This window comes from Homo sapiens, chromosome 9 (assembly GCF_000001405.40).
Source record: "Homo sapiens chromosome 9, GRCh38.p14 Primary Assembly".
In the NCBI taxonomy this organism is placed as follows: domain Eukaryota; kingdom Metazoa; phylum Chordata; class Mammalia; order Primates; family Hominidae; genus Homo; species Homo sapiens.
In genome coordinates this window covers 70,471,829-70,497,644 of record NC_000009.12, presented here as the reverse complement: position 1 = coordinate 70,497,644, position 25,816 = coordinate 70,471,829, and the positions used below count along the sequence as shown (strand labels likewise).

The 25,816-nt window shown below is 44.9% G+C and overlaps 1 long non-coding RNA gene across 5 annotated transcripts in view, besides 1 other annotated feature; it reads right to left on the bottom strand.

Moving 5' to 3' along the window:
- The window catches only part of KLF9-DT (KLF9 divergent transcript), a 136,304-nt gene that overhangs the window by 52,849 nt on the left and 57,639 nt on the right, over window positions 1–25,816 (bottom strand). For 2 of the 5 annotated variants that reach the window (XR_001746707.3, XR_001746708.3), the window contains exon 4: window positions 2,935–3,011. The exons of 2 other annotated variants lie outside the window; for them this stretch is intronic. This is a non-coding gene — a long non-coding RNA (KLF9 divergent transcript). Of the gene's footprint in view, window positions 1–2,934; window positions 3,012–20,850; window positions 22,254–25,816 lie in introns of those variants that run through there. One more of the 5 variants, XR_001746711.3, reaches the window with a different exon arrangement.
- Window positions 11,966–12,272: an enhancer, noted in NCBI's record as "KLF9-I DHS fragment used in reporter constructs". NCBI's record gives its function as "activates the minP and KLF9 promoters by reporter assays in K562 erythroleukemia cells {active_cell/tissue: K562}" and the evidence as "EXISTENCE:reporter gene assay evidence [ECO:0000049][PMID:23985037]".

The following is a 25,816-nucleotide window of genomic DNA, read 5'->3' as shown; positions in this document are numbered from 1 at the left end:
CGAAATTGTTCAAGGCCTTGTTGGGGCCAGTGAGTGTGCTGGCCAGCCTGAAAGGAAAGCTAGAGAGAGAAAACTAGAAAACTCAATTGGAGCCAGTGTAAAGAGGGCCTTGAATGCTAAGACCAGAGTTTGGAATTTATCTCATTCATAATAGAGAGACATGGAAAGTTGTTAAACCGAGGAGGAACACTATCAGAATGTGTAAGAAAGTATCAAAAGACCTTTCTTGGCCAGGCACGGTGGTTCACACCAGTAATCCCAGCACTTTGGGAGACGTAGGTAGGTGGATCACCTGAGGTCAGTAGTTTGAGACCATCCTGATCAACATGGTGAAACCCTGTCTCTACTAAAAATACAAAATTAGCTGGGTGTGGTGGTGCATGCCTGTAATCACAGCTACTTGGGAGGCTGAGGCAGGAGAATTGCTTGAACCCAGGAGGCAGAGGTTGCAGTGAGCTGAGATCATGCCATCACTCCAGCATGGGTGATAGGAGCAAGACTCCATCTCACAAAAAAAAAAAAAAAAAAAAAAAACAACAACAACAACAAAAAGACCTTTCTTGTTTTAGCACAATTAGTACTTGGCCCATGGCTGAAAACAGCAGTTGCTGAAGAACACAAGGGGTGAAAAAAAAGTGGGGCCAGACCCTGCACTTTGGGCCATCCCTGTAATCCCAGTGCTCTGCAAGCCTGAAGCAAGAGGACAGCTTGAGCCCAGGAGTTCAAGACCAGCCTGGGCAACACAGCAAGATCCTGTCTCTACAAAAAAATAAAATAAAATTATCTAGGCATGGTGGCACATGCCTGTAATCCTAGCAACTGGGGAGGCTGAGGTGAGAGGATTGCTTAAGCTTAGGAGTTGGAGGCTGCAGTGAGCTATAATCACACCACTGCACTCTAACCTGGGCAACAGAGTGATACCCTCTTTCAAAAAGACAAAAAATATGGGGCCAGATGCCACATGCCCCTGTGGTTTATTGATGGGTCCCATTAGAATGCCACCACCTCAAACTATATGAGCACTTCTGCTGGGCAGGGGTCAGAGAGTCAGAAGAGATGAGCCTGGGAAAACATAGTGGCTTTTCCTCCTTTGGGCAGCCAGGGATATACACCCTCTTTCCCCTGGTGTTGACAAGGACTCCAGGAGACGCACACATGGAGATCGAGGAACCTGAAAGAGGAGAGGCAGGAAATCCATTCCCTGCTTAGGCAGCAGGTGTTTATCTCCTTCTGAGCCAGGAAAAATGAAATAAGAGTGACAACAGGTGGAGAGAGAGGGGACCTGGGAGAACCTATGTTGCCACCACTTGGTACAATATTGTGTCAGCTTCCTGTGGGTCAGGAGGACAACTTGGAAAAAATAGCTGGGCTTAAAGATAAAAAAGACTACATATTGTATGATTCCATTTATATGAAATATTCAGAATAAGCAAATTCATAGAGATAGAAAGCAAATTAGTGATTGCCAGGGGCTAGAGCAAGTGGGAGGATGGGGGGTGACTGCTTCATGGAGGGGTTTCCTTTTAAGATGATGAAAATGGTCTGGAACAAAATAGCAGTGATGGCTGCACAACACAGTGATTGTACTAAATGCCACTGAATTGTGCACTCTAAAATAATTAAATTGGCAATTTAATGTTAAGTGTAATTTACCACAATAATTGTCTTTTAAGAAAACAGTAGCTGGTAGCTGGGCACAGTGGTGCACACCTAAAATCCTAGCACCTTAGTATGCAAGGCAGAAGGATTGCTTAAGCCCAGAAGTTCAAAACCAGCCTGAGCAACATAGCAAGACCCTATCTCTAGGGTCTCTAGGTACACAGTAAGATTGTACTTCCTGGTGCCTTTCTGGGTGAGTGAGGCCACATGACTAGTTCTAGCCAACAAGATGCAAGTATAAGTCACTCTGGCCCCGATACAAGATCTTCTGTGAGCTCTTGTTCCCTCTGGTACAGAGTCTGGCAATGTTAAAGATGGCCGATGTCCCATGAGCCTGAGTCCCTGATACGGTAATACGTGCAGTGGACACGTAGCGTGAGAGAGAAGTAAGCCTTTGTTGCACTAAGTACTTCAAATTTGGAGGTTGTGAGCACAGCATTACCTAGCTCACAACCCAACCTGGAACAATTAGCATTTGGACTCCTGCCTCCTAGATAGACTTAATGAGCCCTCACTCTTAGCCAAAGACATTAGAAAACAAGAAAGACAAAACTGCTTCAGCAGCTCATTATGAAAAGAGAGACGTGTCTCTTTCCTTTCTCCTCCTTTTTTTGTACGAGGCACAAAAAAAGATGCCTGGTAGAGGGAGCAGGAAGTGAAAGATTACATCATGCTCTCCTCCTCAGATCCCTACCCTTGAGCAGAGAGAATTAAATCAGATATGAGATTAAATTTTCAGCCCAACTAGACTAAGTTGTAATAGGAGTGACTAGAAAGCCGTGGGAGCTCCCAAAGTGAGAGGAAAGGGAGAGTCTACAGATCTTGACTGAAAGCTCTGATTGAGTCCCCAAGACCTGTCATGATCCCAACAGAAAGCCGATGGATCACACCCTCACATGGAGGTAATTCAGAAGAGTTTAAGAGGGCAGGACTATTTACAAAGTGGTGGGCAGGTTGAGGAGAGCCCACAGGGCTAGCAACAGCAGGGAAAGCGAGAAAGTGGTGGTAGCTCTAGGGAAGGACCTGTGGTCTACAGGCAAGAAACGTGGCCACTACCAACCCACTACCCATCTGGTTGGGCAATACCCCAACTGCATCTTCCCCTTGCCCTCTGGTTTCCTTCCAGTGCTTCCTAACTGGCTGAACCAACAGGTAATTAGAGAGCAAGGGAGCCCTTTGATGCATCCATAAAGGTCTGTCTCTCAAGGCTCAGAACATAGTGGAGAAGAATGAAGAGTGCCTCAAGAGGGCAAATGGAGACTATCCAGAACCTACCTCTGCCAAGCTGAGATTACTCCAGGAATTGGTTCCAGGTGTTTTAGGAAGATTCTTTTCGTTTATGGGTGATGTACCTGAGAAGGATGGAATGGAAATAAAAGGATGATTTATAATAGTTCTTGTCAGAGAATGAGTGAAAAGGTTGAAGGCTAGGAGGGTGAAACAGCATCTCAAAGGCTAAGTAACAGGAGAGGACAAAGAGGAAGTAATCTGAGCAGAAGTGGCTAAAGAGGAAAAGGGCTGGGAAGTTTTCACGGGTACCCATTCCGGATGTCCTGACGACCCTCCAGGGAGCTATTTTGGACGCATGCTGCCTCAGTTAGCATCCTGGCAGGAAACAGATGGACACTCAAAAGGGTTGAATTTAATGAAGGGACTATATAGGGCGTAGACTGCATTAAGAAAACCAGCAAGAGATCATGATACACAATCACAGGAAGCTGTTTCCATCTCTGTGCCTGAAAAGCCAAGACAAGGGGTGGTGATTCTGGAGCCATAGACGAACCTGTCCCCACCAGGATCAGGGCTATAGAGGAACACAGCCTCTCAGCCTCTGCCAAACCCTTCATGAGGCTGCGTTGGGGGATCAGAGGCAGCAAACACCTCATCCAACTGCCCTCTCACCTTCCAGTCTTCTGCTCTGTCTTCCACTGGGGAAGCCTATCAGTAACCTAAGGGCAAGGGAGCCCAGTGGGGCCAGAGAAGGGCCGAGAATGGATCTGTGGGAAGAAGAGGACAAACAGAAAAACCAACCAACTTGGAGGAAGTGAAAGCAGGTAGATAGTGAGGAAATGGATGCTAAGGCAGCAAGCATTTTTCTGTCTAAAGAAGAGATACAAGGTAAAAACAGTAGTGTCAAGCAAAGGTGTTTTTTCTTTTTTTTTTTTTTTCGAGACAGAGTCTCACTCTGTTGCCAGGCTGGAGTGCAGTGGCACGATCTTGGCTCACTGCAACCTCCACCTCCCGGGTTTAAGAAATTCTTCTGCCTCAGTCTCCTGAGTAGTTGGGACTACAGGCACATGCCGCCACATCCGGCTAGTTTTTGTATTTTTAGTAGAGATGGGGTTTCACCATGTTGGCCAGGATGGTCTCGATCCGCCCGCCTCGGCCTCCCAAAGTGCTGGGATTACACGTGTGTGCTACGGTGCAAAGGTGTTTTCTAAGCAAAAGAGACCTGAGCATGCCTTAAACTGAGACCCAGATCACCCAAGCCACATCACTGAGGTCATGGTGACTGGTTAATCCTGGCTAAAATTATGTTAAAAAGTTTCCATCAGAGCTATGCGTTTCAGATGACTCAAAAGATTCCAAGGATGAAGTCAAGGGGCAACTCGATCACAACACAACCCCGCAAGCGCCTGTTGACTCTAACTATCCATCTTTCACTAAAGAGCAGGCTAATCTTTTAAGAATAGGAAGACTTCCCGTCATAGTAAAATAAAGGCTACCGTATTGCATCCTGGGATCCCTGGAGGCTGGCTGGATCTAGTTCAAATAATTTCTTTCCGGAGTTGCTGTTGCCAAGAAGATTTAGAATAGCAAACAGTGGTGGTCAGTTGAGGTGAAGCTGCCTGTGCTTTTCAGCCCTTCTACCCAGGCACTTTGGAGAAATCAGCATCCGACTTTCCAACAACAGCCAATTGTAGTCAACCAACGCATTGCATTTATCTTAAAGGGTTAACTGTCCTCTGCAAAATCACTCATGAGGACAGTTAAAAAGGAAGAATTCTTCCTTGTGGTTGGAACGGTATGCAGGTGAACATCTGAAAAGACCAGCAGAATCTGGATCACTAGTGGGTGGTTAACTAAGAAAGACAGCACAGACTGCTGCATTCAGCATGAAGTGAAAAGGCTCAAAAAAGGCAAAGTGATCATTGGTCTTAGAGGGGTAGCTGCACTTTGCCAGGAAAATGAGGAGTAAGCCTTCCAGAGTTCAGTCTGCCCAGTGATTTACCACCAAAGTAAGGGCCCCGAGTACAGAGCTGTGCAGGTTGTACACTGCACAGAGCCCCCCTCTCCCAACTGCCCCACTTTCCTGCAAAAAGGGTAGCAACAATTGGAATCCAGCATGCACTCCAATCACAATGCTGTGTGCCCTAGCATGCAGGTGGGTCTGCCTAGAGGAAGGGATGACTTTTTATTTGCACAATGATGCTATCCACTTGGCAAACCATGTTCCCTGGGGACTGCACTGCCTAGAGGTGGAAGGAGAGGTCTATTTCTGATTGTAAGAAAGCTGCTATCTGTGCTAACAGCAACACTGGCCAAAGTCTTCCTAATTGCTAATAATGCATTTACTCTTTGAGACCGAGGCTCCCTCTGTCACCCAGGTGGGTGTGTGCAGTGGTGCAGTCTCACCTCACTGCAAACTCCCAGGCTCAAGCCATCCTCCCACCTCAGCCCCCCAAGTAGCTGGGACTAAAAGTGCATGCCACCATGCCTGACTAATTTGTTTGTTTGTTTTTGATTTTTTGCCACAGAGTCTCACTTTGTCACCCAGGCTGAGTGCAGTGGTGAGATCACAGCTCGCTGCAAACTCCACTTCCTGTGCTCAAGCAATTCTTGTGCCTTGTTGCCCAGGCTGGTCTCGAACTCCTAAGCTCAAGTGATTTGCCCGCCTCAGCCTCCTAAAGTTCTAGGATTACAGACACGAGCTATTGTGCCTAGCTGCATTTAATCTTCATGTCTTGCCTAAGAGAACCTTGCACATAGCCAAAGTATGAGTGGGAGAAACTCAGAAAAGATGATAATAGTAATAACAACAATCCCTCTTTTTTGTTTAGCCCTTATCATTTTAAATAACACTTTCCTATCCAGAATCTCATTCAAGCCTCAGAGCAATACCAGGTTCAAACTGGGTAAAGATAGCCTTTCCCATTTAAAAATTGTGGAGCTGAGACTCAGATAGTTGGGACTGAAATCTCAGTCTTCTGATTGCAAATTCCCTGCTCTTTGCACAAGACAAACAAACAACAACAACAACAAAAAAAAACTACACATTCAGAAAAGCTTCTAGGTATATCAGCTTGGACAGCCAGAGCCTATTTTCCTGTCTCCTCGGTAACAGAACAGTGATTTTCCTCTGGGGACATGCTGCCGATCTCCGTTTATGTTCTTCAGCCTGGGGAGAGACAGGCAATTGAGGCCTGGAAATTCAAAGCATTGCCATAATGGCTAGTTCAGGAATGGGCATGCAATCCAACCAGAGCCCATGAGGGGTGAGGAGACACTTGCAGTACTTGAGACAGGAGGGAGGCCCGACTCTCTTCCATTGGTCTTAGGCATGGAAGAAGGTGTGTCTGGAGTCATTGGCTGCCGTCTTGCCCCCATGTGGAATGCGAGAAAGGCAATGTGGATGATAGGGAAGCCAAGAGACAGGGTACACGTGAAATCATTTGAACCTCTGGTTTTAGGCACACACTCCAGTACTTTTTATTTACTTGAGCCAATATTTTATTATTTAAGCAGCTCAAGTTGAAACAAAAAGTACATCATTGCAACTAAAAGTGTCACCAGGCAACTAAAATTGCATTGTCTGTCACTTGGCTGAGTCAGGTAGTTTCTTCTTCTTCTGTCTTGCTAGTCTTATGCAGATACAGGCAATGCCACTCACAGCACTGGGGAACAGCATAAGGTTTAATTGCCAAAGACTAACGCACAGAAATTCCCTCAGTGCCATGATATGGCTAATCACCATCTCTCCTCAGCAGCCTGGAAAAGTTAAGGAACGCCGCTTTGCCCAGATGCCCAATGGAGTAGCCTAGCCTGCTAGACATTGTGAGGCAACTGTGTAATGTACTAAGAATTACACCTCACTTAGTAGACATTGAGCGGTGCTCTAATTGTGCTTGGACACCTGCATCAGATGGACCCCTGACAGTGAAAAGATGGCTCCCAGTGGCAATGGAGGTTTATGCAAGAGACAGAACAAGAATCTTCTCCTTCAAGCATGGGAAATAAGTCGTCCCCTTCAGTCTGACTGATCCATCTTGGGTCATGTACTCACCATTAGATCAACAGCAGATGGCAGGAGAATGACATTCATTCATTGGCTTAGACTAACCAAGATCTATACTGGAGCTGCAAATGGTGTCAGCTTCTTCTGAGTCACAATAAGAGGAATAGAACCCCAAACTGAGATTCCGCTGAGAAGAAAGAAATAGGGACTAGAGAGCCGGGCACAGTGGCTCATGCCTGTAATCCCAGCATTTTGGCAGTCCGAGGTGGAGGTGGGTGGATCACATGAGATCAGGAGTTGAGACTAGCCTGACCAACATGGAAAAACCCCATCTCTACTAAAAATACAAAAATTAACAGGGCGTGGTGGCATGCGCCTGTAATCCCAGCTACTCAGGAGGCTGAGGCAGGAGAATCGCTTGAACTCGGGAGGCAGAGGTTGCAGTGAGCCGAGATCACGCCATTGCACTCCAGCCTGGGTGACAGAGTGAAACTCCATCTCAAAAAAAAAAAAAAAAGGAAAAGAAAAAAGAAAGAAAGAAAGAAAGAAATAGGGACTAGGTGTTGGGTAAAATCAAGAATGTCATTACAACCACTACTTGACCATGTGACCCTGGGCATATCCTCTAACTCTTTGGGCCTCGGTTCCTTGCCTGCAAATTGAAGAGAACACAATCAAGGATATCAACACTCCCTATCTACTGTAATATGCTACAACTCTAGTAACTCCTCACACAAAACAGGAAAACCAAGTAGACAGTATGGGAGGCAGGGAAATTTGAGAATGGTGGTACTTGCTGATGTTCACTCATTTCAAACTTGCTTCACTTTGGGGAAGATATCTTGACAGGACAGAGGTATGTTTAAAACTTTTTTGTAGAGGCAGGATCTCACTATGTTGCCCAGGCTGGTCTCAAATTCCTGGCCTCAAGCAATCCTCCTACCTCCATCTCCCAAAGCACTGGAATTACAGTTGCCACCAGGCCAAGCCAAAGTCAAGATTTTTACTCTCCCCAATTACAATAAAAAACAATCAAAAGAATTTTCCAGCTGTCTTTATTACAAAGTCATATTTCTTATTATTCCATATTCTCTGGCATATAGAAAAACAATTTTAGGCAATGATGATCTGTTTAAGCAAAGTCTGGATTTAGCTTTTTTCTTTTCCTGGACCTGATCAGATCAAACAACTATAGCACGTTATAAATACCTGGGAAGATTTTTAAATCCCGATGCCAGGTTATAGCCCGGACCACGTAATTCAAAATCTTGAGAGGTGAGCACCTGACCTCAATAGTTTTTCAAGCCCCCAGGTTATTCTAGTGTGCCCCAAGGCTGAGAACACTGCCTTTGAGTCTGCCATAAAATCAGTGTCTGCTGAACCCCAGTGGAGAAAGGAAGGTGAGTGCCACACTTCCCTACTCCCAACTAGAGGAAAAATAAAATTGTTGCTGGATCTTTAAAGTCTAATGATTCCTGAGATATCTGGGGGAAGGAAGGTGTTGTTCTGTCTCAGGATTCTAAGCTTTATTAATAGGAACTAGCCAGAATGGGAAGTCTCGCTCCTAAGCAGCTGTAATTAAATCATATTCTCTGATAAGATGGCCCTTCCCAACTCATCCCCCATAAAGAACTGTGGCTGGTCTTACTTCTGGAAGTGCCTCTAACCAGAGCTGTTTCTAGGGCTCCTTAGCAGAAGGTCACTGAAGTTATTTTATTATGATTTTATTACAGAAAGATTTAAGTAAAAGGGGCCAGAGAGGGCACCTGAAATATTCCAAATATTCACCAGGCAGAAGCACTTAAGAGGGACACCTTCAACTGGAGAAGCTCCAATTTGGGGCTAATCCAAGGGTGTGTCCACGTGTAGCCTGAGCCAGAGACTAAATGCAGGCACAAGAAGTCACCCCGGGCAGCCTAGGAACGTTTAAGGTGAGGCATACAAGTGATTTAGTTCAAGGCATAATCTGTTCTGTTAACAGCATTTTCAAATGTTCCCCAACCTCTGACTTCTGAGACTGACAACATTCCAAGAATCTGAGACTAAATGCTGGAGGGAAAGAAAATATTCCTACCACTAGCTTAGGAATATTGGGTCATTCCTTGAACCAGGGGTGAAGATGAGTACTTTACTGGAAACCAAAAATTTGTACTCCCTCTGCTCGATCATATCTCTAAATAATTTGAGGGCTGCGAAGCATAATTAATTACCAAAAATATGAATTAAGCAGCTACTGCTTAGGGCTGTGCAATGACTAAAAAGGTTTGGTCTCTAATTTATAGCTGGTACTTATTAAATATATGCCAATTGATTTGTAAGAATTTATCAGAGAATAAATAAAACACACACTCAGAAGCCACTACTCATGCACAGGCATTATTAAAATGAAGACTACAGTAAGTTTTCCTTTCTCTGTTGTAACCTAACCACAGCCACTTACTGTTTATAAGCCCACTACAGGCTTATAAGCACATTACTATAAATCTTGCTCAATATGAGGATCCTATCCTCTTTTTTTTTTGTCAGATCGAGTCTTGCTCTGGTTCTGTCACTCAGGCTGGAGTGCAGTGGCCCGCACCCAGCTCACTGCAACCTCGTCCTCCCAGGTTCAAGTGATTCTCGTGCCTCAGCCTCCAGAGTAGCTGAGATTACAGGTGCACGCCACCATGCCAGGCTAATTTTGTGTTTTTAGTAGAGACGGGGTTTTGTCATATTGCCCAGGCTGGTCTGGAACTCCTGGGCTCAAGCAATCCACCCACCTCAGCCTCCCAAAATACTGGGATTACAGGCATGAGCCACTGCGCCCTGTCCTTCTTTTCAGAGATGCAATACAGGCTATTTATATAAAAGGCTGACATGAGCCAGCACAGGAGTGCCAGGTATACCCCGAATGCTAAGAGGATATCAGCACCAGGCCCCAGGCTCTGTGGGAAGGATTCAATGCGGAGAAAAAAAACAGCACTTGTCTGTGACCAGAGCCATGCTAAAGCCATTGACTTACTTTCATCTTTTCTTTAAAACTATTTTTTTGACACATAATTGTACATAGTGATGAGGTACATGTGATATTTTGTTACATACATACAATATGTAATGATCAAATCAAGGTATTTAGGATATCCATCACCTCAAGTATTTATCATTCTTTGTGTTAGGAACATTTATCTTCTAGCTATTTTGTAATACACAATAAATTATTGTTAACTATAGTCACCCTACTGTGTTATCAAACACTGGAACTTACTTCTTTTATCTGACTGTATGTTTGTACCCATTAACCAACCTCTCTTCATCGTCCCTCCATCCCCAGGCTCATTTTATTTTTTATTTTTTATTTATTTATTTATTTTTGCGATGGAGTTTTGCTCTTGTCGCCCAGGCTGGAGTGCAATGGTGTGGTCTCGGCTCACTGCAACCTCCACCTCCCAGGTTCAAGCGATTCTCCTGCCTCAGCCTCCCAAGTAGCTGGGATTACAGGCACCCACCACCACACCCAGCTAATTTTGTATTTTTAGTAGAGACGGGGTTTCACCATGTTGGCCAGGCTGATTTCAAAATCCTGACCTTAGGTGATCTGCCCACCTCGGCCTCCCAAAGTGCTGGGATTACAGGTGTGAGCCACTATGCCTGGCCAGATTTATTTTAATCTTGCCCCTCAACCCAACCTCAATTGGGATGGGAATCAGTCTAGGCTAGTTGGGGTCAGGGGAACAGGTTCAAGTCAGATGCAGATAATTATAGAGCATGAAGCACACACTGCAATAATTAGAACTCTTTTAGCTGTGACTTACAGAAGCTCAACAGAAATCAATGTAACCCATAAGAGAATGTATTGGCTTCAAGGTATAGTATTAGCTGGATTGAAGTGCTCAAAAGCTGTTATCCAGAATCAATTGCTTTCCATTCCCTTACTCTCAGGATTTCTTCCATGTTGGCTTCATCTTCAGGCAGGCCCTCTCCCAGTGGTGGTAATAATAATTGCCAGAGACTGGGTACAGTGGCTCACACCTGTAATCCCAGCACTTTGGGAAGCCGAGACAGGTGAATCACTTGAGGTCAGGAGTTTGAGATCAGCCTGGCCAACATGAAACTCCCATCTCTATTAAAAATTTAAAAATCAGCCGGGTGTGGTGATATGTACCTGTAATCTCAGCTACTCAGGAGGCTGAGGCATGAGAATCACTTGAGCCTGGGAGGCAGAGGTTATAGTGGTCTGAGATCCGCACCACTGCACTCCAGCCTGGACAACAGATGAGACCCTGTGTCAAAAAAATAAAATAAGAATAATAATTGCCAGAGCTCCAGGATCACATCCTACCAGCTTAACAGCCCAGGCAGTTCTAGCAAGAGCCCAGGGCTAGTTCTCACTGGCCTAGCCACAGTCACAGACTCATCTGTGAACCAACATCTGTGACCAGGGAATGCAGTTCTCTCATGGGCCAGGCCTCGGCCTCATGCCCACTTCTCATTCAAGGAGGAAAGGTCAGCGCTGCTCATACCACAAGGACTAAGACTTAGAATAGAGTAACCAAAAGAAAATCAGGGTGTTTTCCCAGGAGAATGGAAATAAAGGGTTAAAAACAACAGCTCTCCACTGCCTTGACGGTGCTGGCCCACTTTGTGGATCCTGGAGTTATGACACCTATTCTTACCCTCACTCTCCTTAAATTTCCTGTGCCCAAAACTTAATAGGCAATTGAATAAATAGTTTTAAAATGAATCAATGAATGAATCTAGTTGAGAGCATAAAACATGAACTATTTAAATATTCCACAGTATTTGGTGATATGATCAATGTAAACTATAAAAGCAAAGATGCAAAAATAAAGGAAGGAATGAGGGGATGCCATAGGGAAGAGGTAAGGCCTGAACTGGGTCTTGAAGGATGGGGAGAAAAGGGGAGGGGAATGCGTTCCATGAAAAGTCACAATGTGGGCATAGCACTGAGATCAGACAAGTACCATGAATCCAGGGACAGAGAGAAAACTTGCCAGGCTGGGCTTCACGTGGGCAAATAATGGGAGAGGAGTGGAGGAAGGTAGGAGGGCCCACCATGAGTCTGGGGTGGCCATCTGAGGACCCAGAACTGTATCCTGTAGATGCTGGGAGGGGGCAGAAAGGAAAAGCTGGCACTGAAGGAAGAGAGAAGAGTTCAGTTTGGGACAAGATGAGGCTGCAGTGTCAGCAGGAAGCATGAAGTAGGAGAGTGATGATGACAGTGCTGCTTTGCACAGATAAGCCTGGCGGAGACACGGAGGGGGCTGGACTCTTAGGGGTGAGCACGGAGGCAGGGTGTCAGTGGGGAAGCTGCTGCCAGGTGGAGATAATGAGGGTCTAAACTCCATCCCTTCAGACTGCCTTTTCCAGCCCAGCTTCAGAGGCCCTTTCAGCAGCCCCTGCCTGCCCATTACTCTTTCTCTCTCCTGCCTGTCCTGGCTCCTGACATGATAGCATGTCAGATATTTGATTATCCAAGAAACTTCAAACTTGAGGAAGCTACACATAGAGAGGGTCTAAAGCATACGGTGCAAAGACTACGCCTTGCTAAATGACACAGAAGTCTCTTAGCAAGGCATGGCACAGAAGCATGGGTGAACCAAGGAAGATACAGCTCACTGTCCAACTCTTCAGAACGTTTTCTGAATAGCATTAAGCACTGGATTCTGCAAACCAACTGATTGAGTTTGAATGTCAGCATCACCGTTTACTGGCTGTGTGATCGTGGGCAAGTTCTTTCTCTTAGCCTTGCTATTTCTCATCCGCAAAAAGAAAGTATAATTGAACTTCCCTCAGAGGCTTAGTATTAAAACTAATTGTGTTAATAATGTATATAATGGGCCTGACTCAATAAAAGTCTATTATTATTATTTGCATCTGGGAACATCACAAGTAAACCTGTTGGTAGGACTCACCTAAACTTCCTCCCAAAGCTAAAAATCCCAACACATAAGGGAGGCCTTTGGAGATGGGGTTAAGTCCTCTCCACTGATCCTCAGGCTGAGCTGAGTCTGTCCTGAAAGATATCGACCACTAGAGGGAGAGTGGACTTCCAGAAACCACAGTCCCTCAACCCAGTGTCTTTCAAACTACGGGTTTGAAACACATTAGTGGTTGTGATACCAACTTAGTGGGACCCGACTAGCATTTTTTTAATAAAATAAAACAGAACATATCTGCATTAATTTCAGAAGATACAGGTAGATATTGTTTCATGAAGCCCTTTGCTTTAAATAATTATATAGACATGTATGTTGTTGGTCCCAAAATAAAGTATATTTCTCACTGTGAGTCATGGTCAACTATCAGGAGATCTTGAGAAACACTCCCATAAATGATGTACAGGAGAAAGCTACCTGTGTTGTTCATTCTCAAACACCAACAGGCCACATTGAGGTGAGTCATTGCTCTATGTTAAAGAAGAATCAGACACAGAAGTAGAGGTCTGGATTTAACTAACGACACTCCACATTGTTAGGAATTGTTTTCAGATTCTCTTCCTCTGGTGTTCATTAGGCACCTCTCAAGGTCTAACCTGGCTGTCCTTTTTCAGGCCTATAAATGCCCTGTGTGGCTCTCATCCTAGGTGATAGCATTTACTCCCAAGGCTTCCATTGGTTCCTCTGTGTGACTGAATCCTGAACTACCTCTTTGGCTTTTAACTCCAGATATGTATTTCCAAATGATGGCTAGAATTCTCCCCATGGATGTCCCATAGACCCCTCAAATTCAACCTGTCTGAAACCCAACTCATTATTTTCCCTTTATAAAAAGAGAAGTAAAAGACCCTGGTCCTGTATTCCTTCTCTTGGCTCCTCTCTCCTAGCAGTCACTGTATTAGGCTGTTCTTGCACTGCTATAAAGAAATACCTGAGACTGGGCAATTTATAAAGATAAAAGGTTTAACTGGCTCACAGTTCTTCAGGCTGTACAGGAAACATGATGCTGGCATCTGCTCGGCTTCTGGGAAAGCCTCAGGAAGCTTAAACAATCATGGTGGAAGGCAAAAGGGAAGCAGGCACATCACACGGCCAGAGCGGGTGCCAGAGAGAGGGAAGAGGTGCCACACACTTTTAAATGACCAGATCTCGTGAGGACTCACTCATTATTGTGAAGACCGTACCAAGAGGATCGTACTAAACCATTCCTGAGAAATCCGACCCCATGATCCAATTGCCTCCCACCAGGACCCACCTCCAACACTGGGGATTACATTTCGACATGAGATTTGGGCAGATACGGTTTGGATATCCAAACCATATCCAGTCACCCAGGTGAGAAAATTCAGTTATGGTCAAGTTTTCTTTCTCCCTCTGTCATTGCTGAGTTGAGTCATTTATCTGTCCCAGTGCCTCATCTGTCCAGTCTACTTTTCCCTCCCACTCGTACTATTTCAGATGATTTGTATATCTTCTTAGTGGTCTCCCTGTTTCCAGCCTCTCACCTTTCCCATGGATCCTTCCCATGGCCATCAGCTACCTCACCAAAACAGACTGAATCGTGTCATTCTCTCATATCATTCTGGTCTTAATAACATGCAATAACTCCCAAGAATAACCAAAATAAATAAAATATGTAAGCATGGGATTTAACTCCCAAGTCAGGAATGACAAATGATTCCATCCCAAGTGCCAATCCCAACTGATTCATTGAGAACTATGTTGAGAAGAATTCTGAGGCTTCATTCAAATTCAGGAAGAAAGGTTAGCAAGGGGCACAACAGGGGGACGTGGGTATCCCTGATCTAGGCTCAATCTATTTTTTTTTTTTTGCTTCTTCCCACATAACTCTACCAACCATTCAGCCACAAGAACTACTTATCATTACCCAAATATACCATGCAATTCTATTAACGACAAAGACTATAATTCCTTTCTTTACTGTTAGCTTACTCTTGCCTCAACTTCGTATCAGAATCCTCATCCTGTTCCTCTACCATCAGAGTTTATTATGTGTATCTCTACTGAGCATGTATCAACCTCCTTTGTATTATAAATATTATATTTTTTATTTTTTGTAGAGATGGGGGTCTCACTATGTTGCCCCAGGCTGGTCTGGAACTCCTAGGCTCAAGTGATTCTCCCATCTCAGCCTCCTAAAGTGCTGGGATTACAGATGTGAGCCACCATGCCCAGATGTCATTTGCATTTTAAATACTATGTTATGGATCATGTGTGTGAGTATGTATTTCTGCCTCTCCCACTGGACAATAAAGTCTTTGAAGGCAGTCAACATATCTTACTCATCTCTCAACCCCTAGATTCCAGTCACCAACTTAAACATAGCAAGCATTCAGGGGGGCATTTATAGAATGAATGAACTATTTAATATTCTGATGGCATGTTGACACGTGACTTTTCAACAACAAAAGTCACAGGGGGAGGCTGAGGCAGGTGGATCACGAGGTCAGGAGATCGAGACCATCCTGGCTAACACAGTGAAACCCTCTACTAAAAATACAAAAAATTAGCCAGGCATGGTGGTGGGCGCCTGTAGTCCCAGCTACTCGGGAGGCTGAGGCAGGAGAATGGTGCGAACCTGGGAGGCGAAGCTTGCAGTGAGCCAAGATCGTGCCACTGCACTCCAGCCTGGGCGACAGAGTGAGACTCCATCCCAAAAAAAAAAAAAGAAAAAGAAAAAAGTCACAGGGAATCTCTGGGAACTAGCCCCATCTCAGAGTAAGGACTCCTTTCTAGAGATTTCCTTATTACCAGCAGTCAGCAAAAACCATAAGACAGCAGCCCCAAACTATGAAGCAGGTGGTAGAACTGAGAATTTAGGAGAAAAATCTCTCATTGGTGCAACAGCATAACACTGGACACTTACGGATGACTCTGCAAGTATACAAGACAAGCCTTATGCTCCTTTCACCAATCAAGCTCGGAAGATGTGACTTTCCCTGTATCACAGGAGCACCCCTAAGTAGAAGGAGACTCAAACCCACACCTCACACTTCAGATCCACAGCTCACACTTCAAAGTTGTGCTCTTCCTGCTTCACCAGTGAGTGTTTGGTGAATTTTACTCCAAAGAAAGGAATCCACTATCATTAAAAACTAATAATAGTACATTGGAAAATCACTGCATTGCACCATTCTGTCTATGCTATAAAGGTCTCCCACTCAGATCGTCCAAGCAACCCCCTAAACAACTGGAGACTCAACCCTATGACTAGGTGAAGATGGCTTTGGTTTTTTTGGTTGTTTTTTCCTGTGGACCTCATCTAACTTGAAAGTTGTGGGTTTTGTTTGTTTGTTGTTGCTTGAGATGGGGTCTTGCTATATGAGGATGGTTTTTGAAAAGGTATTTCCAACCACCTTACTTTACCAAGCATTAACAGCTTTTCTCATTGGTCATTTATATGGAGGCCAGTGACCCAAAATCCTTACAATCAATTATTTCCAGTTATAACAGCAAACTGGGAACACTATTTGGAATATTGTAATAGCTTGAACAACTGAGAGAGAAGTCACCAGCACAAGGGGCCTTACCTTTCCTTTAAAGGAAAATAACTTTTATTACCGTTACTCCCTGAACACCTAAGAAGAAAAAAAGAAATTGAAGAGAGACAGTGACAGACTCGTTAATTTCCAAAGTTGATGCCAAGTCCTGTCTTAGAAAACGGACATCACAGGCGCTTTGCTCTTTCAGGAAGTGTAATGCTTGGGATGGTCAATTTTGAGTAGCGAAAAAGCAAATGGTCTAGGCCAAAATCCGAGAGATCACCACGATTTCAACGATTTGGGGGTTATCTTCCCTGTCTTTTCCCTCTTTGTCTGTGTGGTTCCTCAAACAAAGTGGGTTGGAAAAGTTCAAACTCAGTTCACAGAAGAGAACATTCTGTACTGGCACAACAGGCTGGGCTGCTCTGTGTAAAACAAGATCAACAGCATGATCTCAGCTGCCGCGGCGGCAGCAGCAGGCACCACGCCGCCGACCCACAGCCCGGCGTTTGAATGCAGGGCTGTCAAAGACGATCTCTGGACAGTACACTGCGAAGGTGGGGACCCACACATACACACACACACACGCACACGGTACGTCAGAAATGACTTTCTGCCCCTTGTAGTTCAATTGTTACTTCCTCTCCCCAGAGGGTCAAGAAAGTTGTTTAGATTTTTCTCTTTGGAGAGTAATTACAGCTGCAACATTTCCAAGGGAACAACCCCCTGCGTGTGCACTTCAGCTCTGGCATTGATTGGGGCTTTTCAATCTGTTTGGATGTTACTGTAATCAGATGACAGCAGTAATACTAAGTACATTGCTGCCCGGGCTTAGGGAGGGAGGCAGTGAGGGAGGAAAGAGGGGATAGAGGATCAAGTTCATTGTTACCCTAACCCCCACTCCCAGCTTTTCTATTTTCTTCTGGATCCAAAGCTTTTTCCTCCTTTGTCTAGAATTTAAAGTGCAATTCAACACATACTTATCGAGTGTTTATTTTGTGCCAGGGCCTGTCCCTAGAATAATACTAGTAGCAAGGTTGTTCTAGTGAAGTGAAATCTGGCCCTCACACCCATCAGAAGAGGAAGGACAGGAAAAGGGAAAGCTGTGTATGGAGACAGGTGGCAAGGCGGGAGGGGAGGGCTGCCAGAATGAAGGATGGACAGGCCTGAATATGGGTGGGTGTTTTAAAGTATGACAAAGCAGACATCTGGAACGGGGCTGCTTTTGCATTGCCCTTTCTACGTTGACTTCAAGCCTATTTGCAAGAGGAAAAAAATGGCAAGAATGCACAACTGCCCGCCCCAGGAGGGATGGAACTGCACCTCAGCCTTCTTTAAAGGTTCCTGTTTCCCCGCTGCTGTGGCAGGAGCAGAGACCAGCAGGAGGTGAGCAGGGCACAGAGGGGCCTCACAGAGAAACAGAAAGAGGATAATCAGGGCCTCCTAGGCAGTGGCTTTGAATCCTAATTTGTTGGGTGAACCTCAGGCAAGTTTCTCAGATTTGTGCCCATGAGTCTCTGCGCTGTCAGCTATTAACTGGGGAGAGTCTACCTATTAGTAGAACTATTGTGGGATTTAAGGAAATAATATCTCCCTTTGCTTGGCAGACACTAGGTATTTAATAAATAGTAACCATTGTTATTATTAATGTAAGTACTATTCAGAGAAAGCTGTTAACCTGGTGTCAATTAAGAATTTGCACCAATGTGACCTCTGAAATGTTTTCTTGCCCACGTATTTTCACAATTTATTTACTTAGTGAATGTCTATGGAGCACCTGTTTGTAGCCCTGTGCTCTATTCCAGGCACGGCAGGAGGCACTGGGGCAACAACAGTCTTGTCCTGGAGAGCTTCCTCACCTTTCCAGGGAGGGCAGTTTACACAGGGCAGCAAACCCTGGGTGGCAGACCAGCGCTTCCTCACTGCCTACCTTCTGTCATGTTCAAGCTTGTTTCCTCTAGGTCCAAGATCATCTCTATGATTGTGACCAGCCATCCCATAGGAAAAGAAGCTTCCAGAGATACTGGGGAACAAGGATTGTTCAGGGACAGCCCTGATGTGAGACACTTCTCAGAACTGTTCTTCCAGAATGTAAACACCCTTTCCCTTTCTCACTTCAGGACCAGAGCTCCTGCCAAGACTTTGAAAAACAAGTTACACAAGCACCTTTGGGGAGGTTGGCCATGCCACACCACAGCTGTAGCTACATGGGAGAGGAGGAGGGAGCTGGCCTCAAGGACTTAGTCAGGGACAATACTTCCACCCCTAAACACAAGTTCACAGGTCCAAGAGTCCAGTAGAACACAAGCCCTTGGACCACCACACCATGCCCCAGCCTGTGGCCCAAGGAGTCAGTCACTGAGGATAATTTCGCAGACTCCCCTGCCACCATCACTGACAGATCCCAGAGTTCAAAGAGTAATCAATCGCCTGTCATTAGAGCCAGTGCTCAGGCCCAGGTGGGGCTTTCTTGGAACTGGTCACTGGGATATCTTAAATTCTTTTTTTTTTTTTTTTTCCAGACAGGGTCTCACTCTGTCACCCAGGCTGGAGGGCAGTGGAGTGATCATGACTTGCTGCAGCCTCAACCTCCTGGGCTCAAGCAATCCTCCCACCTCAGCCTCCCAAGTAGCTAGAACCACAGGTGCACGCCACTATGCTCAGCTAATTTTTTAGTTTTTTGTAGAGACGGGGGTTTTGCCACGTTACCCAGGCTAGCCTCGAACTCCTGAGCTCAAGCAAACTCCTGGTCTTGAGGAGTTCCTGGGCTCTTTCTACCTTGGCCTCCCAAAGTGCTGGGATTACAGGCCTGAGCCACCATGCCTGGCCTTAAGTTTTTTCTTCCCTGGGGAGATCACCTCCCTTCACTTCCCTGACCAGACCTCCCTCACAGAAGGCCCTATTTAAAATTTTGGCAGCAAAGAGCCTGTCTCAAAAACACTTCTCTCCCAATTGAAGTTATTTGCCAAGGGCTAGTGCCAACTCCAGCCAGTCGTAGATGGAATTTCTCAGGCCAGAGTGTGCCTGGGGCAGTAAATGCAAAACCTTAAGGATCTGACCTGGACCAAGCTAAATAAATCCAGGGACTGGGCATGTAACCAAGATCTCAGAAGGAGTAAATGAAGGGGAGTTCTCAGAGAATTAAGCAAGAGTTTGCACCAACCCACACACACCTGGTGGGAGCAAAGACCTAACAGAATGACATTTGTTGATCACACATAATGTATCAAGTACTTTACATACATTCTCTCATTTCAACCCCACAGTAATCCTGTAGAGTAGGTGTTGATATCATCCCTGTTATAGATAAGAAACCAAGACTCAAAGAGCTTAAATAACTTGTCCGAGATCATGCAGCCATGGACATGGCAGAGCTGGCACTTAAACCCAAGTCTATCCAAGGTTGAAAGCCCAGATTCCTTTGATTACACTATTCTGCCTCCCTGTATGCAAGAATCTTCTTTCATTTTTAAAAAAGTTTTTTCAAAAGAAAATGTTTTTCAGAATTGTGCTCCAGAGACTCTTATTAGAATACAGGTAGAATCATCTTGTATATTTATCTTGATTTTTTAGAGACTGAGATCTCAAGTTGAAGTTCTGAGACCAAGTCCCACTCTCCAGTCTCATGTAGTTTACCCTATCTCAGTATACATAATCAGCAATAGTTATTGAACATCCACAAGATCTTCTACTATGTTCTATAGGGGATAGAAAGGTGAGTTAAGCATGTCTCCTGCCCTCAAGGAAATTATAGTCTGTCTGAATAGGATAGGTTGTGCTGCAGTAACAAATAACCTCTGTATCTGAATGGCCTAACGAAAAAAAGGTATGTTTACTGCCTTCACCAGATGCCCATTGTGAATCAGCTGGGTCCTCACCCGAGGACCCAGTCTAATGGGCAATCTGCCACATATCTCAAACATTGCTAATCACCATGCCAGGGGAAGGAAAGTGTGGTCGATCGCTCACCAGCTCTTAACACTTCTTCCCCTGTAAGCTTCTTTTCCAAAGGGACTCATGCCAATTCTGCTCATATTTCATTGGCCAAAGCAAATCGGCCACACACAATGCCAAGTTATATACAAACCTACCACAAGTCTGGAAGTGGAGGAAACCTTGAAAAATTTGGTGAATAGCCCTAATAATGACCATAGTCTGAGAAGAGGAATGGCTTCAAAGCCTCATCCCCCACATTCCACAACAGAGCAAGCCAAATAACTAAGTGCCCTTAGAGTGGGTGCTTTCAAGGCTTATATATATCCCAAGGACTCAACAGAGATTCATGCCTGGGCTAGAGACCTCAATGAAGTATCCTGAGGGGTAAGGCCTATGTTGAGTCTTGAAGAGTGGGAAGGATTTGGCTGGACCTGCAAGACCAGACGAGTTACATCCACCTTCAATTTCAATAGGGTGATGGTAACCCACCACCAATCACCCTCATAAATGACATAGATTACTCCAGGCATGAAGGGACAACCCAAAGGAACACCTGAAGGAAAGAATATGCAGTGTGGGCTTAAGGGAAAGAAGGTCCATCATTGCTGAGCAGAGTGCTGGAGTCAAGGAGAAATGGCAGTTGAGGCCAAGGCATTAATTGAGAAGACGTAGAAAATGTTCAAACGGGAGAAAACCATGATTAGAGTAGAACTTTATGGATTCTAATAGGTGGCTACATTCTTTTATTTCTTTCTTCATTTCACAAACATTTTAAATATTTTGCATTAGAGATGCAAAGGTATATGAGGCTTGATTCTTGCCCTCAAGTTGCTCCAGTCTCTAGCAGGAGGAGAATATATGTGTTGCCTATTTACAATACCCTTGTCTTTTAAGAGGGATTGATCTCAAAGAGATCTGATGAACATAACCTAAAGCTTCAAGCATGCCAGATAATGAAGGAGAAAGGGTGAGTGCACTAAATTGCTAAATGGGATTGAGGTAGTGGTGAAGAATCCAGGGGTGGAAGGAGGCTGGAGCCAGTGCAGCCGGAGGAGAGTGGAGAGAGGAGGATTGGAAAGGATAGGGGAGATAAGGCAGCTGGCAGTGGGAGAAAAGGCTTTGGGAATGAAGGAAGATTTTTAACGGGGATTTGTATAAAGTTTGGCCATATGGTGTTCAGTGTAAGCCCTCCACTTTTCTCCCTTGTGAGCATTTCAGTCAAATCCACATAGCTGAAATGCTTTCGGGGTGGCTTGAGAGGTAGCAAGGGGGCAAGTGGGCTGCAGTGAAGCATTGATTATGGCTTCCACGTGGGTACAGGGTGTGAGCAGGGACTTCCCAAAGGTCCCAGTCACATCTTATTAAATAGATATGTGCAATCAAATTTGGACAGGATAGAGTGGCTCATTCTGGGTGTGGGAGAGTCAGTCAATAAAAACTTCATAAAGGAGATGAAAGACAATCCTGGTGCCAGGTGTCGAAAGATCAGATGTCCTCAGCCCACTTGGATTAATGGAAAGCATTCCAATCCAGGCACCAAGAGCAGCATATGCAAAGGTACTGGGGTGTGGAACAGCCTGGCTTGTTCAAGTAACTCCAAGCAAACCTTGATGGACAGGATAATAAAGTCAGGAGGGGCAAGTTCAAGAATCTAACCCAAAAATCAGGAGTGCATGTTCACCTTCGAAACTATTCATTCGATATTTACTGACCCTCAACTACTTTCCAGCTTATACAGTGTCATGAAAATCTTTTGATTTGGTAAAAACCTGGGAAATTCATGACTTCCTATTAGTCTATTGGTAAGGAAAGTGGGGATCCAGAGATAAACTTTTCTAAGGATGTCCTGACTTACTTATTCTTGCCTCTCACATACGCAGTATGACAATATTTACCTTGCTGCTAAGCACCATGTCTCCATGTGCAGTGATGACAAAAAGCCAAGATCCTTGAGGTCCTGTGTCCCAGCGGGTGAATGATTGCCTGAGACAGCAGCAAACAGGAGCAGAAATCTGGTGACTATTAAAACCACTGATTGATTTACAGTCAACTGTCAGGTGGGAAAATTTATCTCCATTGATCACAGCCTAAAGTATCCTGTGTGTGGGGTGTGAGTGTACATATGTGCCCATGTCTGTTTTAAGTATCCACCTGGGAAATCTCTCAATCAGCATTTATTTCAATAATCACATACAGAGCTCTGGCACTTTTTTCCACAAATGCTTCCAAAGCAGTTTGTAAATTTTATATAGCTGGGGAGTTACTGTGGCAGGAATAGAAGGAAATAGATATTTATCAGCTTCCTAATGAGAACTGGAGACTCAGTGTACTTTTGTTGAGAAGAACAGGGATCCAAGAATGTGTATTTAATTCAGAATGTGTGTGTATTTAAATGACATAGTATTTCATTAAAATGTTTTTCATATTTCCTCCTAATCATCCATTCAAATTCTACATAACTTTCAAGGCCCACCCTCTAGAATCAGCTTCTAGTTGCTAAATTTTGGTCCTCTGGAGTAAAATACTGTCACATTGCCCTGGACATTGCATCTCTCTAAACACCCCCAGAAGACTGGCAGTAGGAGGGAGACCTTGTGTCCCTCTCAGGGGTTTTATATTATGCATTCCCAGCCCATTTCTCAGCAAAGGCTGAAAAGTATTTATCCAGGAGACCAGTGAGCGCCTGTGAGGAAACTGGAGAAACTTCAGATCATTCATTCAGTCAGTCAATATTTACTAAGCAATTACTATGTTCTAGAAACTATGCCAGGGTCCTAGAGATACAGCTAAGAGCAAAAGACATGGATCCTGGCTTCCCAGAGCCAGCACTCTAGTAGGGGAGATGGTCATTGATGGGATAATCACCCAGATCATTGTAAATCTAGCACCAAGATAAAGGGAAACAAGGAAGAATCTGAGAACATAAGCGGAGTAGCTGGGTTTCCTGGCTTATGCCTGTAATCTCAGCAATTCAGGAGGGCAAGGAGAGAGGGTCACTTGAGCCCAGGAATTTAAGATCAGCCTGGGCAACAAAGGAAGACTCTGTCTCTACAAAAAAAAAATTTTTTTTAATTAGCCAAGCATGATGGCACATGCCTATAGTCCCAGCTACTTAAAAGGCTGAGGCAGGAGGATTGAGAGCAGGAGTTCAAAGCTGCATGATAGGCCAGGCACAGTGGCTCACGCCTGTAATTCCAGCACTTTGGGAGGCCAAGGCGGGCAGATCACCTGAGGTCAGGAGTTTGAGACCAGCCTGGCCAACATGGTGAAACTCCATCTCTAATAAAAATACAAAAATTTGCCATGTATGATGGCAGGCACTTGTAATCCCAGCTACTTGGGAGGCTGAGGCAGGGGAATCGCTTTAACCCAGAAGGCGGAGGTTGCAGTGAGCCAAGATCATGCCACTGCATTCCAGCCTGGGCAACAGAGCAAGACCCCATCTCAAAAAAAAAAAAAAAAAAAAAGCTGCATTATAGCTGAGTTATAGTAATGCTACTGCCCTCCAGCCTGGGTGACAGAGTAAGACCCTGTCTCAAAAATAATAATAAAATAGAAAAAGAGAAAAAAGTAGAACATAAGCAAGGAACATTACCTAGACAAATGGGTTGGGGAAGGGTGCCTGAGAAAGCTCATCTGGAGGCTGAGCAGGAGTTATGGAGATGCGTGTGTGTGTAACAGCCTTAGTTTCCTCATTTGCAAAATGACTGTACTAACAGTACCTTGCCCAAGTGTGGAGTCCCTAGAAGTAGGTCCTGAGATAAGGACTCATGATGAGGTGATTTATAAAAAAGTGTGCCCTAGGGCCAGGCGCAGTGACTCACGCATGTAATCCCAGCACTTTGGGAGGCCAAGGCAGGCAGATCATGAGGTCAGGAGTTTGAGACCAACCTGGCCAACATGGTGAAACCCCATCTCTACTAAAAATACAAAAACTAGTTGGGTGTGGAGGCGTGCGCCTGTAATCCCAGCTACTTGGGAGGCTGAGGCAGGAGAATGGCTTGAACCTGGGAGGCAGAGGTTGCTGTGAGCTGAGATTGTGCCATTGCACTCCAGCCTGGGCGACAGAGCGAGATTCTGTCTCAAAAACAAAAACAAACAAAAAAAAGAAGTGTTCCCACATGAACCTGGGAAGCGGAAGTTGCAGTGAGCCAAGATGGCACCACTGCACTCTCGTCTGGGTAACAAAGAAAAAAACAAAAAGTGTCCTTAAAGGAAACTGGTAGAGGAGGTAGAGAGTGGGACTAGGAAGGGAAGAGAGGCGTCCAAGCAACATTGACAATCAAATAAAGTCCACGCAGAGGTGTGCCAGAGACAGGAGAGGTCACATGGGGAGCTGGGAGCATTCGTCCCACAGTACCTGGTAGTCACAGGTGAAGTCCCAGGCACTTCTGCTCTCTATACTGAGAAGCAAAGCAATTCTAGTAGCTCAAGGACCATCCTCCAACACAGAGCCACGATGCTGGCTGCTGGGTGCACAGCACAAAGTAATGAGGGCGTACAGGACTATGCAAGAGCACACAAGGGGGTGTGGGCAGGGCACTGAGACGCTGGTTACATAGGGTACATAGGGAGGTACAGATGTAATGAAACAATGCATGTAAGGAACAGAGCACAGTGCCTGACTCATAATAAGTGCTCAAGCAGTATTAGCTCTCATTGTAATGTTTATTTATTGAATATGTATCGATGCAGCCTGACACAGACTCTGCTCTGCCCAGTTATCTCTGCCTACTCAAATCCTCCAGGAAACCCACTCTTCCACCCACCACTCCCCGCCAGGCCTCCCGAGACAAACACACATATAAATATAGCAATATATATTTATATTTCCCAGGATTGTCACATTTTGCTGAGCTCATAACGGAACTGAACAAATAGCCCTGTCATCCTCTGTAATATATTCTATCATTCACCGGGGCTTCATCTCTCCCTGTCCTCCTGGGCTCCTGGAGCTCAGAAATTCATGTGCTCGGCTGCTTCTTCAATGTGATCTGTACTAACCTGATGTAATTCTCAGGCCTTCATTTCCTGTGCAAGTTGATAGAATTTTTAGACCAGAGGGACCTCCTAGGTCTGGTCATCTTGCTGAGCAATTGGTTTGCTACTTCAAAAATCTGCATTTTAAATAAAAAGGAATGAACTCTGATACCTACAACAAGAAGGATGAATCTCAAAAACAAAAGAGCTGGACACAAAAGAATACTCATGGTATGATTCCATTTATTGGAAATTCTAGAACAGGCAAAATTAATCTATGGTGACAGAAAGCAAGTCAGTGGTACCTGGGGCTGGCATGGGGGCAACTGCGAAAGGTACCAAAGAACTATTGGAAGTTGAAAATGTCAGCATCGGCTGGGCGTGGTGGCTCACGCCTGTAATCCCAACACTTTGGGAGGCCAAGGCAGGCAGAACATGAGGTCAGGAGTTCAAGACCAGCCTCACCAACATGGTGAAACCCCCTCTCTACTAAAAATACAAAAATTAGCCAGGTGTGGTGGTGCATGCCTATAATCCCAGCTACTCAAGAGGCTGAGGCAGGAGAA